The following is a 15954-nucleotide window of genomic DNA, read 5'->3' as shown; positions in this document are numbered from 1 at the left end:
TAATATTAACAGCAAGCAATTGTTGAAAATATTAACTTTTGTATAGTACAATAAGATGAGAGGTGTGTGAGCTTATATTTATTAAAATTTAGATAAATTTATCATTTACTGAAGGACAACAATGTAATTATTACCTTTAAAAAAGGAGATGCCCTTAATTCAAGAAAATAGGATTACAAATGAAACGGGGATAAAAGGCCCAGCACAGTGGCTCATACCTGTAATCCCAACACTTTGGGAGGCCAAGACAGGAGGATTGCTTAAGTCCGGGAGTTCAAGACTAGCCTGAGCAATGTATCAAGACTCCATCTCCACAAAAAATAAAAATATTACCTGGGCATGGTGCTGCATGCCTGTAGTCCCACCTCCCTGGGAGGCTGAGGTGGAAGGACTGCTTTAGCCCACGAGTTTGAGACTACAGAGAACTATGATCATGCCATTGTACTCCAGCCTAGGTGACAGATTGAGACCCTGTCTCTAATTAAAAAAAAAAAAATGTAAAGAAAGAAATAGGGTATAAGATACACTTAATATATCCATTATCAGTTTTATTTATTTTGGTCCACAGATGTAGTGAGGAATTTGTAGCATCGGCTACTTTTCAGCATATTGATAGTTTTCAAACACTTCTTACCAGCTTCTGTAAAAATCTTGATTTTAGAGGAGTGATAGACTTCATGGAACAAAACAATTGTAATACTCTATATAAGCCTATGCTGTACTGGCTGGCTACCTTTTAATGAATTTCTGTTAGCAGTTTAAGAAACACCTTTGAAAATGGTGTAAGGTAAATAAATTTCCTACGGACTTCTGTTTCATCACATTATAAAAAAATTGTTGAATAAATGGCATTGTTTTTATTTTACTTTGTGTTTGATTGTCAGAATAAAAGAAGATAAGGTTGAGCTAGACATATTTTGGTAATAAAATAGCATTATTTTTATTTACCTAAATATAACACTAAGGTAAGAGGTATTTACATATTTCTTAGGACTAGAGGAAGGCGTCAAAATAAATTGTTAATAACGTATTATTTTGAAATATATGATGATCTACCTTGAAAAGCATTTTTTGTGAATTGTAGAAAGCTATACATCTAAGCATAAAGACCTTAAGTTTATTTCTTTCAACCAGGAGGTTTAGAACCATTAGAGTATGGAATATCTACTGTTACCAGGCCCAAAAAAAGCATAAAATTGAAAGATGCAAAGAAGAAGCAAGTTTAAAATGACTCTGAAAATGTTGCTTTTTTTCTTCGAGATGTTGCATTTAGAAAAAAGTACAGTGTTTCTTCTTTTTAATGCATAAGCCATAAAAAGTAAAATGTCTACAGTTCTTAATGAAAAGAGCCTTTTTTTCTGAGTCATTTAATCAGTAAATATGTGTGGCAAATACTTAATGTGCCAGGCAGTTTTTTCTGTAAGTAGATGTCCCCTAAAGGCATTTTCCCATAGAGCAAATTGTGAACACACCTTTCAGTACAGAAATGAAGTTGAAAGCCTGAATTTGAAGAAAAACTAATGTTCATAGAGAAACTGAAGAATACAAAAAAATGATTGTTGGTTTAGAGAAGCTTATTCTCTGAGGAAGATAAAACAGTAGGCACAATGCTGCCCAGCTAAAAATTAGGGTTTTGTTAATAAGGAGTAAGAGGAGGCTTCACAGTAAGGTGGGCAACACACAGTTTCTGGCACAATTATAATGCTGGTAATTATTTCGAATTAAGTGAAGAACAAAAGATTGGAAGTCAACAACCAGAGTTCTAATTCAGCTCTGCTGTTAACTGTCACACCTAATGCAACATAGCCGTGGGCACGAATGGACACTGAGAACATGAAAGATCAGTACCAGAAATCTATAAGTCCGGAAATTTATGTCACTAATCTACCAGGTAGGATTTTTGTGGCTAGGCGAGGCCTATACTAGGAGGACAACTGTGTGAATCCAAGGATATAGAAGGAGGAGATATTGAAAGTCGTTGACTATTAGAGGATGACATACTTTGAGTAAGTAGAAAGCATAGTCAGCATTGTGGAAACAGTTGTATCAAACCACATCTTTCTCACTTGTTTTTAATAGATGACACCTTTTCTCATGGTTCTTACTCTTTCACATCTTTAAAGTGCTATGTAGTGTATGGTATAATAAGCTATATGACTAGTGTGACTTAAGAATATCTGTCATAAAGTTGATAATCTATCACCCTTTCACTGCCTACCTCTGGCACTATTAAGTAGCTAGAAATAGACATAATACTAAATTGAAAAGGCATAAGGAAATCCAACAAAATTTTGATTTTTTTCTCATGATGTTAATTTTTTTATGTGAATTGTCAAATTTCGTCGCAAATATCTGATACCCTTTCTTTGCTCATTCCCGAAGAATTTTTTTAGTTCTAGAAGGGTAATTTCATATCTTACATTACTTACACTGAAGCTAACTTAATTCTCTCATCTGTAATGTAAATGCATATAAGAGGTCTTTAAGATCAATTTGCTTTTAGGTGTGACATTCTAAAAGTTTCATATAAACAAATTGGGAAGTAAAAGATTCTGAAAGTACAATTTCAAAAGGAAAGGTAGGAAAAAATTAACTTTGTTTACTTACGCTATGGTTAAATTTACTGAAAATTATTTAACCAGAAATCAATTTGGTAAATGATCAATCTACCAAATGACTAATAGGCCTTAAATTGTCAGACCAATTGCCTTAATCCAGATTTAAAACATACCCCACAAATATTTTACTACCAGAGGCAAGGACTGGGATAGATAGAGGTCTCAGTCCAGAAAAATATGAGAAGAGCAAAGTCCTTCCATTCACTTACATAACATTGAGCATTCAAGAAGGACAGTACTAGGCATCTCAAATGTTAACTTGGGAAGCTGGGCATCTAGTGGCACAGGACTGTAAATCCATGTGAAATTGCTGCATCCCAGTCTTGGTGATACTAAAACTTTAAAAATAGTCATCAATAACTTAGCAAATAAATCATTCAGCTAATCAGCTTTTGGTGGACTGGTATACTGTATTTACATAATTATATACTGCTTTTCCCAAAAAAAAAAATCAGCTTACAAGTATTTAAAAAATGGGAGCAACAAAAGAAAAAGTCAAGCCAGGATGAGTAAAATTGAATCAGGAATAAGACTTGAGAACACATCCCATTAAGACCTAAACATGTGGCTGCTAAACCACATATTTACCCTAGCTTTCAGTGAAATGTGGGAAACCCAGTTAATTGGGCAATTTACTGTCTATAAGATAAGGTGAAAACAAACCAGTCCCTCATGAAGGGTTCACCTATCCTTTGGAGTCATTTATTTATGAAGACTATATAACAGAAATGTTGAAATAGGAAGATCATATTGAAAATAAATTTCATGATCTCTTTTGAATTTCTGAATACAGAAAATATTTAAGAACTCACTAAAAAGAAATATTTTCTTTCTTTAAAAGTCTGTTTATAAGTCATAAAAAAGTTGAGCAATAAATTTGTTTTCCAGTTTTCTCAAATATTTCTCCATCCTTATTTGTTCAGTAAGAAAACATCATTGCCACTTAATTCCCTTTTCCATGTTCTTTAGAGACTACTCCAAACCTTAACTGCCTTTCTGGTCTACATTCAGGCTTTCCTCCTTCACATCCAGGCGGTGTTCAATTTCAGCCAGTTCTCTCTCCCAAAAGACTAATGTACTATTCATCTCTCTTTCTAGCTCTAATTCCTGTGCTCTAATCCAGGCCATCATAATTTTTATATGGACAGTTGAGACAACTTTCTCTCCCAAGCTCTAAACTCTTTTTCTAATGCATTACTGAGGGTGTGGTCCTAGGGTCACCTGCCTTAGAATTGACTGAGCCTGAGGTCCTTGTTAAAAATGTGGTCCTTTAGGGAAAAGGTCTCTCTCTAGCTGACTTTTAGATAATGTTATGCCTTGCTCAGAGTAAAGGTGCCTCAACAAATATTTAAGTAGTGAAAACTTCATTTTTATAATATATTACAGATTTACAGTGTACTTTCACTTATTTCATTACCTTATTTACCTGGATTATTCAGTCTTCTGAAATAAAACGTAAACCCTTTTCTTTTTTTCCTTTTTTCTCTTTGTAGTATTTATAGAAGTGAAGGTATTATTCACTAAGAATACAAATTAGCAACTCTCGAAAGCAGAATTAGAATAATATAATTAACATAATCTTGTCCAGGCTTGGTGGCGCACGCATGTAATCCAAACACTTTGGGAGGCCAAGGCGGGTGGATCACCTGAGGTCAGGAGTTCAAGACCAGCCTGGCCAACATGGCGAAACCCTGTCTGTACTAAAAATACAAAAATTAGCCGGGTATGGTGGCAAGCGCCTGTAATCCCAGCTACTTGGGAGGCTGAGGCAGGAGAATCACTTGAACTCAAGAGGCAGAGGTTGCAGTGAGCTGAGATTGCACCACTACACTACAGCTTAGGCCACAGAGTGAGACTTCAGCTCAAAAAAAAAAAAACAAAAAAAAAAACCTAATCTTTTGCTATCTCCATCTTGTTGATCATCTTTTCTTATCCATATTTTAAAAATCTTAGTCAACAAAAATTATTTTCAGCAAATATTTACTATTTTAAGTCTTAGAAATCAAGAAAAAAGAATTAAATTCTTTTGATATATAACTTCTGATAGATAAAAAGCCAATGGCATGTGAATCAAATGATGTAAATTGTATTTGCTTTTCCTGAGGAAAAATTTATTGAGAAAAATACTACTTGTTCTCACCCACAATTATTTTGGCTCTTCAATGAATTAAAGCTGTTGTATAAGTTTCAGATTTTCCTAATGATTCTTTTCTCATTTTCTAAAATCTAAGATTCAGAAGACATTATACATAATCCAGTATATGCAATCCCTTTAGAAAGTATTTACTTTTTAAATGCCAAGGGCAAAAATGTGAATGATATGGTCACTATATTTGTCTGCTAAGTTCTAGGCACCAACATATTTTGTTCCTCTTTTGACACAGGTGTATTTTCCTAGCTGAATAAAAATGTAACTATGTAAAAATTGGATAAGAAAAGTTGACAGAACTCTTAAAATTTTGGCCAAAAATTGATTTTGTTATTAATAAGATACTTTAAAAACCAAATGCAGATTTGTTTACAGACTTTTAGTAGTCACTCTTCTCTTCCAAGTATCATGAATGTTACCTTTATATTTTACAAGTTATATGATACATGCTGCCTTGGTGCTTAAGAACATAATAAAAAAATGAAAACCTAAACTAATCAAAAGCTTCCCATGCTGGTGAACATAACCTGACATAAAACTATGCTGATATCTTCCTTTTTAGTGGCTTATGGCCTAAAAGTACACTTTGTACAACTATTGTTCCTATTGACTTTATTTGGAATCTCAGCAAAAAATTTTCATTTTCCTCAGAATTAATTTTTAAAATTATCTTTAAGATAAGAATTACTGAAAGGAGTTAGTATAGATGTTATTTTTAGCATATGTATATATGAACATATGCATTAGTTTTTTTCTGACGGTCTTTTCTTGACATAATCTTGGCTGTGCTTTCATGGCTAAATGTTATGATCTGTCACTTATCAGGTATAAGAACATCTTTATAACATCAAGTACCCATAGTGGTCAGGAGCACAGGTTTTAGAGTGAGACAGTCATGGGTTTGAATCACAGTCTGTTCTTTGCTGTCTATTCAACCTCACTCAGCCTGAATTTCCTCAATTGTAAAGACGATAAAACCCACCATATGAGATAGAAATGTTGTGAAGATTAAAGTGTATAGTCTATTCAAAGTATCTGGAACAAAGCACAATACTTAGAATGTGAGATGTAGCTATTATCCATAATCACGTACAATTTAGTACCCATTAACTGCGATATTCATAGACTTCTTGCCCCAGGTTAGGCAAATCATGTTATAACGTAAAACTCAAGAACTTTGGGTTATTTTTGGTTGCACAGTTTCTTCTAGTGACTCAACCAAAATTTCTACTTTGAGGATATTTTTAGAGAAAAACACGTTTTAAAAATTTCCTTAACCTTCATACTGAAGGAATTAACTCTTAAAAAGAAATAATAAGACAATTATTTTTAAAAGATGTCTCCTATATCTGAACATATTATTTTGGACTATAAGGTAATATAACAGTGTATTTGTTTTGATTGACACATGCAGGATACATGTATTTATGTGCTAAGCAGTATTTTTTTTTTTTTTTTTGAGACGGAGTCTTGTTCTGTCGCCCAGGCTGGAGTGCAGTGGCGCAATCTTGGCTCACTGCAACCTCCACCCCCTGGGTTCAAGCAATTCTTCTGCCTCAGCCTCCCAAGTAGCTGGGACTACAGGTGCACACCACCACGCCCGGCTAATTTTTGTATTTTTAGTAGAGACGGGGTTTCACTGTATTGGCCAGGCTGGTCTTGAACTCCTGACCTTTTGATCTGCCCGCCTTAGCCTCCCAAAGTGCTGGTGTTATAGGCATGAGCCACTGAGCCCGGCCGCAGATACACTAGCATTGTGTTGGCATGTGCCTCCACTAGGAGGCTTATGATGAGAAATCTCAAATATATACAGAAATAGATGGACTGATAATATAGACCTTGTACCCATCATAAGTTTTAGGAATTATCATTTTGACCAATACTGTTTTACATATACCCTCATCTACTTCTCCCTTCCAAAATTTGTTGAAGGAATGGTTCCATTTGTGTCTCTAAAAGATAAGGACTCATAACCACAGTACCACTATTATACTTTTAATATATAATTTCTTTTTAATTTTTTTCATTGTTGTGAGTACATAATAGGTATATATATATGGGGTACATGAGAATATTTTTTTTTTTTTGAGGTGGAGTCTCGCTCTGTCACCCAGGCTGGAGTACAGTGGTTCCATCTCGGCTCACTGCAACCTCCGCCTCCCGAGTTCAAGCCATTCTCCTGTCTCACCCTCCCAAGTAGCTAGCACTACAGGCACCCGCCACCGTGCCCAGCTAATTTTTGTGTTTTTAGTAGAGACGGGGTTTCACCATGTTGGCCAGGCTGTTCTCAAACTCCTGACCTCAGGAGATCCACCCGCCTCAGCCTCCCAACATGCTGAGATTACAGGCGTGGGCCACCGCGCCCGGCCACATGAGATATTTTGATACAGGCATACAGTGCAAAATAATAACATCAGAGTAAATGGGGTATTCATCACCTCAAGCATTTATCCTTTCTTTGTGTTACAAACAATCCAGTTATACTCTTTTAGGTTTTTTTAAATGTATGATAAATTATTGTTGATTGTAGTCACCATGTTGTGCTATCAAATACTAGATCTTATTTATTTTACCCACATATTTTTTATAACTATTAACCATCTTCACTCCCTTGCCCCTCTCCTCTCACTATCCTTCCCAGCCTCTGGTAACTATCATTCTGCTCTCTATCTCTGTTGAGTTCAATTGTTTTAATTTTTGGCTCCCACAAATAAGTGAGAACATGCAAAACTTACCTTTCTGGGCCAGGCTTATTTCACTTAACGTGATATTCTCTAGTTCCATCCATGATGTTGTTGCAAATGAAAGGATCTCATTTTTCTTTATGGCTGAATAAGTACTCCATTGTGTAGTGTATGTTTACCACATTTTCTTTATCCATCTGACATATGGGTTACCTCTAAATCTTGGCTATTGTGAACAGTGCTGCAGCAAACATGGGAGTGCAGACACCTCTTCAGTATATTCATTTCCTTTCTTTTAGATATATACAGAGCAGTGGAATTGCTGAATTATATGGTAGCTCTATTTTTAGTTTTTTGAGCGACCTCCGAACTGTTCTCCATAGTGGTTGTACTTATTTACATTGATACGTTCTTGATATCATCAACTCTCAGTCATTGCTCAGATTTTCAGTTGTCTCTTTATTGTTCAAATTTTCTTAACAGTTTATCTATTTATTTATTTATTTATTTAGAGATGAAGTCTCGCTCTTATCCTGCAGGCTGGAGTGCAATGGTGCGATCTCGGCTTACTGCAACCTCCACCTCCCTGGTTCAAACAATTCTCCTGCCTCATCCTCCCGAGTAGCTGGGATTACAGGTGCCTGTCACCACACCCAGCTGATTTTTGTATTTTTAGTAGAGACGGGGTTTCACCATGTTGGCCAGGCTGGTCTCGAACTCCTGACCTCAGGTGATCTGCCTGCCTCGGCCTCCCAAAGTGCTGGGATTACAGGTCGTGAGCCACTGTGCCCGGCCAGTCCGCGCCCAGCCAGTTTGTCTATTTAAATAAGTATCCAAGTAAGGTCCACAAATTGGGCTTGTTTGATACATATTTTAAGGTTCAGTTAAACTTCCTACAGTTTTCTTACTTCTTGCAACATTTGTTGAAGAAACTAGGTCATTTATAGAATTTCCCACAGAATGGATTTTGCCGTATAGTTTAACTTATACTTCCGTGTTTCTTTTAAAGTTATTGTAATTAAATCTAGAGGCTTGATCAAATCCAGGTTTGATTTTTGTGTGTGTGTGAGGGGCAGTACTATTTTATAGGTGATTGTATGAGCCTCCATCAGGAGGCTGATACCTGTCTAGTTGTGTCTCTTTTTGATGATAGGCAACCATTCAAGTTCAATTCTTCAATTAACTAATTTATTAGGTATTGCAGAATCCTGATATTCTAACTCTTTCTGTCTTAATTTGTTAGCTGTAATATTTATAAAGAGAAACTTTCATGTATTATTTGGGTAGCTTAGTGTTTTGGTTTAACTGATAACCCATAAGAGCAATCTATAGTGGCATCATTGTACAACTAACATTTTTAAATATCTGCTAACTCGATGGTCATTATAGTTCAGAAATGGTGATTAAGATTTATATCTCTACATTTATAGATACAGATACAAATCTATATATTTAATTAAAGCTTAAGTCATTAAAGTAAGAATATTAAAGCTATGCCAAAGGCCATGAATAATTATACATCTAAGTTTAATTTAAAAATGAAATTCCTAAAGCTTATACTAATGTTGTAAATTCCAAAATATATGTGATTTTTAGCTAGAATTTTCTTACATGTTGATCTCTTGTGTTTATTTTGTTTGTAATATATTATTTCTATAAAATGTTAATTAAAAGGGAATGCAGTGGTGTCTTTTGAAAGAAGAGGATGTCATTCCTCGTATCAGGGCAATGGAAGGTCGTAGAGGAAGACCACCAAATCCAGATAGACAACGAGCAAGAGAGGAATCCAGGATGAGACGTCGGAAAGGTCGACCTCCAAATGTTGGCAATGCTGAATTCCTAGATAACGCAGATGCAAAGTTGCTAAGAAAACTGCAAGCTCAAGGTAAGAAACATAATGTGTCTGACACTAATAATCATACTAAAAAGTATACTAAAAGTATTTCTAATATTTTTGACTTAGGATTGACACTGCTCTCAATTTTTAAAAAGTAAATAGTTGTGTTAGAATAAAATGAAAAAATAAGGAGTCCCACTGGTAACTGGAGTTCTTTGATTAGGTAATCTTTCAAGAACCATTACTCATAAACACATCCTATCCTGTGTATTTAGAATTACAAAGGTGGGTGTTAAGCTTTTAAGGCTTGCACAGAAAGGGAATCAACCAGCACTTGGCACATGCCTTAAGGTCGTGCCAACCTTCTGGAAATTCTCATTTTAACAGCTCCCGATTCCTTGAGGTGGTACATGGGAATAACTCCAAAATATGTGGATCTGTGGAGTAAATTTTCAGTCAGAGAACTCCAATTACTGGTAAGTAACCCCAGTCTTTTAGTTTGGGTTCTCCTGTAGTCCAGATATAGTATATATATTTTCAGAATAACAAATTAATACATTAAAATCAAAAAGTACTTTAAGATAACCAGAAATTATCATTTATCAAGCTCAAAGTGCTGATAATAACCTAAACTGTATTAATGATTTGACATTATACATAAAATGTCAACATGAAAGTCCCATGCTATGTATGGCAAAGAGAAGGCTGAGTAAAATAGAACAGTTTGGCTTTGCAGTTTGAGTCACTAGTTACAAATGTGAAGCCGCTTAAGACTGTCTGAATATATCAACATATGTGTAGATACCTTATATTTGCAAGGCATATATATAAAGATATGTAACAATGTAAAATAAAGGTTTAATAATGAAAATTGACTTAAAAATCTAACAGAATTTTACTACTTCTCATGGGTTTTTTATTATCCCTATAAATAAGCAAAATGTGGAGGAAATGTATAAAAGACTTAATTCTATTCATTGTAAACACCATCATAATATAGACTTCTCTGTTGCTGCTTTGTTTTTTATTATAAAACAAATATCTATGACAAAACTCATAGAATAGAATGCTTTAAAGACACATGTAATCTTAATGCTTTGGGATGCCAAGGTGGGAGGATTGTTTGAGGCCAGGAATTTAAGACCAGCCTGGGCAATGAAGCAAGACCCCATCTCTACAAATAAAATTTTAAAATTAGCCAGGTGTAGTGGCACACTCCTCTAATCTTAGCTATTGTGGAGGCTGATGTGGGAGGATCCTCTGAGCCCAGGAATTCAAGGTTACAGTGAGCTATGATCATGCCACTGCGCTTCAGCCTGGCTGACAGAGTGAGACCCTGTCTCTAAAGAAATAAATAAAAGACATTCTCATTGTTATCAGTGGAATAATTAATCTTTCCAGAAATATGTACACACATACACACACATGCAACCACTCACATATACATATATATCCTTTTTGATTTTTAAAATAAGTGGACTTGAGTCAGTCTCTTTTTGATGACTATTTAAGCTACTTCTAGATCTTCACTATCATACAATTATAATAAATATATATTACACTTTTCTAAGCATATATTATACAAATCTAAACATATTACACAAATCATTTTCAAGTTTTTATGGATAGCAGGCAAATATTGTCTCCAGTTCATACTTTGACTAATAGCTTAACTGCCTAGCAGTTATCATATAAATTTTTTATCTTAGTATGTGTATTAGTCTATTCTCACACTGCTATAAAGTTATGACCCGAGACTGGGTAATTTATAAAGGAAGAAGTTTAATTGACTCACAGTTTCGCATGGCTGGGGAGGCCTCAGGGAACTTACACTCATGGTGGAAGGGGAAGCAGCCACCTTCTTCACAAGGCACCCAGAAGAGAGAGAGAGCAAGGGAATCCACCACTTCGAAAACTAGCAGATCTCATGAGAACTCACTTACTATCATGAGAACAGCATGGGGGGAAACCCCCTCATGATCCAATCCCCACCCACCAGGTCCCTCCTTTGACACGTGGGGATTACAGTTTGAGATGAGATTTGGGTACGAACACAGAGCCAAACCATATCAGTATGGTAGTCAGATTTTTTTATTTTATTTGGCTTCTTATAAGACTTTCATCCCAAAGAGTTACTAGTGAAGGTTAAAAAGTCAATAAATTAACAGGCATAGATGGGTTTTAAAAACTGATATTGTCAGTAAGCTATTGACCCTTCTGAATAATGTTTAATGCTGGGGAATGTGGACATTGTTTGCATAAAATAAGAAAGTTTGAAATTAACTGATAATCAAAACATGGGATCTTCATGGATATTTGCCGTATCTAATTATCATTAGAAGTTAGAATCTAAAATAGCAAATTTAAATTTAGAAAATTAACTATATTTTTGTTGTAACAAAGTAGAAGTTAATTATTCAACTTTTACCGAATGTTTATTCTCCCTCCAGATTTCAAATTGATTTGTATTCAATTACATAGTTTACCCTTGTTATAATACATTGGATTGCATTTTGCAAGTTCTGTTACCTTTGACCTTATTGTATATTACATGTACTCTTTCTCAACATGTATATAAAGATTATTTAACAGTAAGTAAATAATCTATTAATATTTACAAGTGTATGGAGTATTGTTTGCATTTTTTCCTGTGAAGAAAAGAAAGTAAAAATGAAACAGTTTATCACCTTTTTCATTTCTAAAAGCCTTCTTTGGTAACACTTTGGGGGGTTATCTGAGAGGATTCTAGAAGAAGTTTTTGTTGTATATTATTATCCTTCTATGACCAACTAGACTGAAAAACCAGACTTAATTTGAAGAAAGTTTCAGAATAGTGAGATAAATGTGAGTTTTGAATGTACATCCAAACGTTGTGAAATGAGAACTCTAATTTCTCAGAATATAGGTAAAAATCTGACCAAGTTTGAATATGATAAAGACTTTCATTCTATATAAATAAACCTGCTTGTTGATTGACTGATACTATTAATATCTCAAATTTTCCAAAATATGAAGTAGCACCTATTCATTTCATATGCGATTGAAACTGAGATGCCTATAAGTAATCTATACCATGCACCGTTATTTTAAGATGTACACTAAGAAAGAAAAGAGCTGCCAGTTATCAGTTACATTCTGACCTTAGAGATGTCAAAATGTTTAAAAATGCATCTTAGGATCAAAGAAATGAGTTATATCCAAAATATCTCTAATTCTATCTGAAAATAAACTTCATCTTTGAAATTAAAGCAGACAGTTTCTTAAGCCACAAAAGATACTTTCCAAATTAGTATTTCAAAAGGTAATTATAATATATTCACCAACCAAAAAAAAAACAAATAAATGAGAAGATACTGGAAGTAATTTATTTCTACAGCTTGGGTGAACTTTTCTAGGTATCTAACTCATTCTCTCTCCTCTGTATTCTCTTTTTTTCTTCTTCTTTTTTCTTTATTTTTATTTTGAGATAGAGTTTCACTCTTGTTGCCCAGGCTGAAGTGCAATGGCGCGATCTCAGCTCACTGCAACCTCTGCCTCCTGCGTTCAGCGATTCTCCTGCCTCAGCCTCCTGAGTAGCTGGGATTACAGGCACCCACCACAACGCCCGGCTAATTTTTGCTATTTTTAGTAGAGTTCGGTTTTCACCATGTTGGCCAGGGTGGCCTCGAACTCCTGACCTCAGGTGATCCATCTGTCTTGGCCTCCCAAAGTGCTGGGATTACAGACGTGAGCTGCTGCGCCCGGCCTTTTTCTTTTTTTCACATCATCTTCTTTTCCAACTGCCCATAATGTAAAATTTAATCTATGTAAATTTTTAATGATTAGTTAAAATTTTATATTTCTTGCTAAAGTAAAAAGATGTGAGTTGAACTTTTAAATTTTTTTGGCCCAAATATTTTTTTAAATTACTGGCCAGACACAGTGGCTTATACCTGTGTAATCCTAGCACTTTGGGAGGCCAAGGTGAGAGGATTGCTTGAAGCCAGGAGTTCAATACCAGCCCGGGAAATAAAGCAAGACCACAAAAAGAAATTTTTAAAAAATTAGCTGGGTAAAGTGGTGCACTCCTATAGTCCTGGTTATTCAGGAGGCTGAGGGGAGAGGATCACTTGAGCCCAGGAGTTGGAGGCTACAGCAAGCTATGATCATACCACTTCACCTGGGTCACAGAATAAGACCTTGTCTCAAACAAATAAACAAAAATTACTGTGTACTTGTGTAGGGCTTGAAATTGATTGATACGCTCATACACAAACATGGTTCTATATATATTATAGAATTTTCTTATTAAAAGTTAAACTTATATTAGAGAATATCAGTTTAGCTTGCAGCAAAAGATCGTACTTATGCCATATTTTCTAGGAAACATTTTTATCAGCACATCTTTACATTTCAAGACAAAGTCAGGCCTCTATTGTAGAATTCAAAACTTTCAATTCTTAATGTTAAAGAAATATTTATCTGGCATTATTATAGATGAGAATAATATTCTTCACCCATATTATTATCAGAGGTTGCTGACCCTGAAGGTCAGTTTATAGGTTTTTATGTCCTAGAGTATTTAGTGAACAGGACATCTTTTTTGTGTGACCCAGAAATTTTTGATGATGCCTGTAACCTCCTAATATTGAAAATGGTTGGGACATTGGAGATAATACTTTATCATCATCTTCCATTTTATTTTTCATTAACACTTCCAGTTTACTAGATGAAATTCGACTTTTTTAATCTCTTCTCCTTTTTAAAAGTCTCAGTGATAGAAAACTGGCCATAGTGACCAACTTCACTTCAGCTGTTATGAGGACATATGGTTACGTTCTTAGCTAAAATCTTAAGGCATTTAAACTTTGCTTAAAGATTTTTAGAAATAGTGGCATATAGACTGTGGAGTCAGAAAGTCCTGGGGTTTCTTTGGGGGTTTTTTTGAGACAGAGTCTCACTGGAGTGCAGTGGTGCAATCTCAGCTCACTGCAACCTCTTCCTCCCGGGATCAAGCAGTTCTTCTGCTTCAACCTCCCAAGTAACTGGGATGACAGGTGCCCACCACCACGCCTGGCTAATTTTTGTATTTTTAGTAGGGGTGGGGGCTTCATATGTTGGCCAGGCTGGTCTCGAAGTCCTGACCTCAAGTGATCCACCTACCTCAGCCTCCCAAAGTGCTGGGATTACAGGCATGAGCCACTGTGCCCAGCCAGTTGTGGGTTTTTTTCTTGGCTATGCTATTTAACCTCTAGGAGCCTTAGTTATTTTTTGTGTAAGCGGGGCAATCATGTTGATCTTATTAAGTAGCTGTGAACATTAAACAAGGTGGTGTAAATTTAACACAACAGGCCGGGCACGCTGGCTCACGCCTGTAATCCCAGCACTTTGGGAGGCCGAGGCAGGTGAATCACGAGGTCAGGAGATCGAGACCATCCTGTCTAACACGGTGAAACCCCGTCTCTACTAAAAGTATAAAAAATTAGCTGGGCGTGGTGGCGGGCGCCTGTAGTCCCAGCTGCTCGGGAGGCTGAGGCAGGAGAATGGCGTAAACCTGGGAGGTGGAGCTTGCAGTGAGCCGAGATCACGCCACTGCACTCCAGCCTGGGAACAGAGCAAGACTCCGTTTCAAAAAAAAAGAAAAGAAAGAAAAAGAAAAATTTAACACAATAGTGCCTGCGATCAATAAATGGTGGAAATTTTTAGAGCTCAAGTGATTCACGTGTTAGCAATTATGTTCCTTGTCAATGAACATAATTTAGGTTTCTTTGTTCAGTGGCTACAAAATTTAAACAATGTATAATACAAAGTGATGCTTTCTAAAATGATTATATGAGTAATATTATATACCACTTTTAGAGTTTGAAGTATTCAGACCAAGTTTGCCAGCAGAAGAAAGCAAGGATATTACATGGTTTCTGTGTCTGTTACACCCTTTGCCACAGTAATGCTTGGTAACAACCACCAAACCTTAGTAGCACACAACACTGTCTTAATCACTTGTGCACATGGAATCAGCTGGAAATTAGCTAAGCAGCTTTGCTTATCTTGGCTGGGCTTGTTCACATTTGTAGGGTCAACTGCTCCCTGTGTCCCAATCTCCCAATAGCCTAGCCCCCAAATCATATCTTCAGTCTTGGGCAAAGCACAAGAACAAAAGCCGAAAGAATACAACTAAACTTTCAAGCTCTGTTTTCATCACAACTGCTAACATCCTCTTAGCCATGGAAAATCACATGGTTGAGTTCAGAATCAAGGGACGGGAAAATATATTCCACCTCTTGATGGGAATTGCTCCAAAGTCACATTACAAATGTCATGGATAAAAGGAGAAATGAAGAATTGGGGACATTAACTTTGTTCATCTACCCTAGTTTCATACATGTATCCTTGAAGATTATAAGAACTAGGTTGTCTTTAAAAGTCATTGAAATTCTGCTTTCTTTTTATTTAGGAGATTTAGTCCCTCTCCTTCATAAATGAAAATATCACTGGATTCAGGAACTTAACCATTATAGCTAATTGAAATACTAAGTTTGGGTGGGAGGGGACTTTGTATTTGTTTTAATTGAGAGTCTTTCTTTTTTTTTTATATGTTAAGACTGAAGCTACATTACAAGTCTTAAAATATTAGCAGCTATTTTCCCACTAAGTGGGGTTTACTTGAAATGTGAAAAAAAATGTACT

At 35.7% G+C, this 15954-nt stretch overlaps 1 protein-coding gene across 49 annotated transcripts in view; it reads left to right on the top strand.

Annotated features, from left to right (window-relative positions):
- BAZ2B (bromodomain adjacent to zinc finger domain 2B) overlaps positions 1-15954 on the top strand; it is a 397131-nt gene that overhangs the window by 290772 nt on the left and 90405 nt on the right. For 48 of the 49 annotated variants that reach the window (XM_047444047.1, XM_047444046.1, XM_047444040.1 and 45 more), the window contains one exon: positions 9126-9336. In XM_047444047.1, the coding sequence (XP_047300003.1) occupies positions 9126-9336 (211 nt within the window). Of the gene's footprint in view, positions 1-1781; positions 1892-9125; positions 9337-15954 lie in introns of those variants that run through there. The other variant, XM_011511056.2, reaches the window with a different exon arrangement.

This window comes from Homo sapiens, chromosome 2 (genome assembly GCF_000001405.40).
Source record: "Homo sapiens chromosome 2, GRCh38.p14 Primary Assembly".
Classification (NCBI taxonomy): Eukaryota; Metazoa; Chordata; class Mammalia; order Primates; family Hominidae; genus Homo; species Homo sapiens.
The sequence above is the reverse complement of the archived record's forward strand: the minus strand, read 5'-3'. Positions and strand labels throughout refer to the sequence as shown.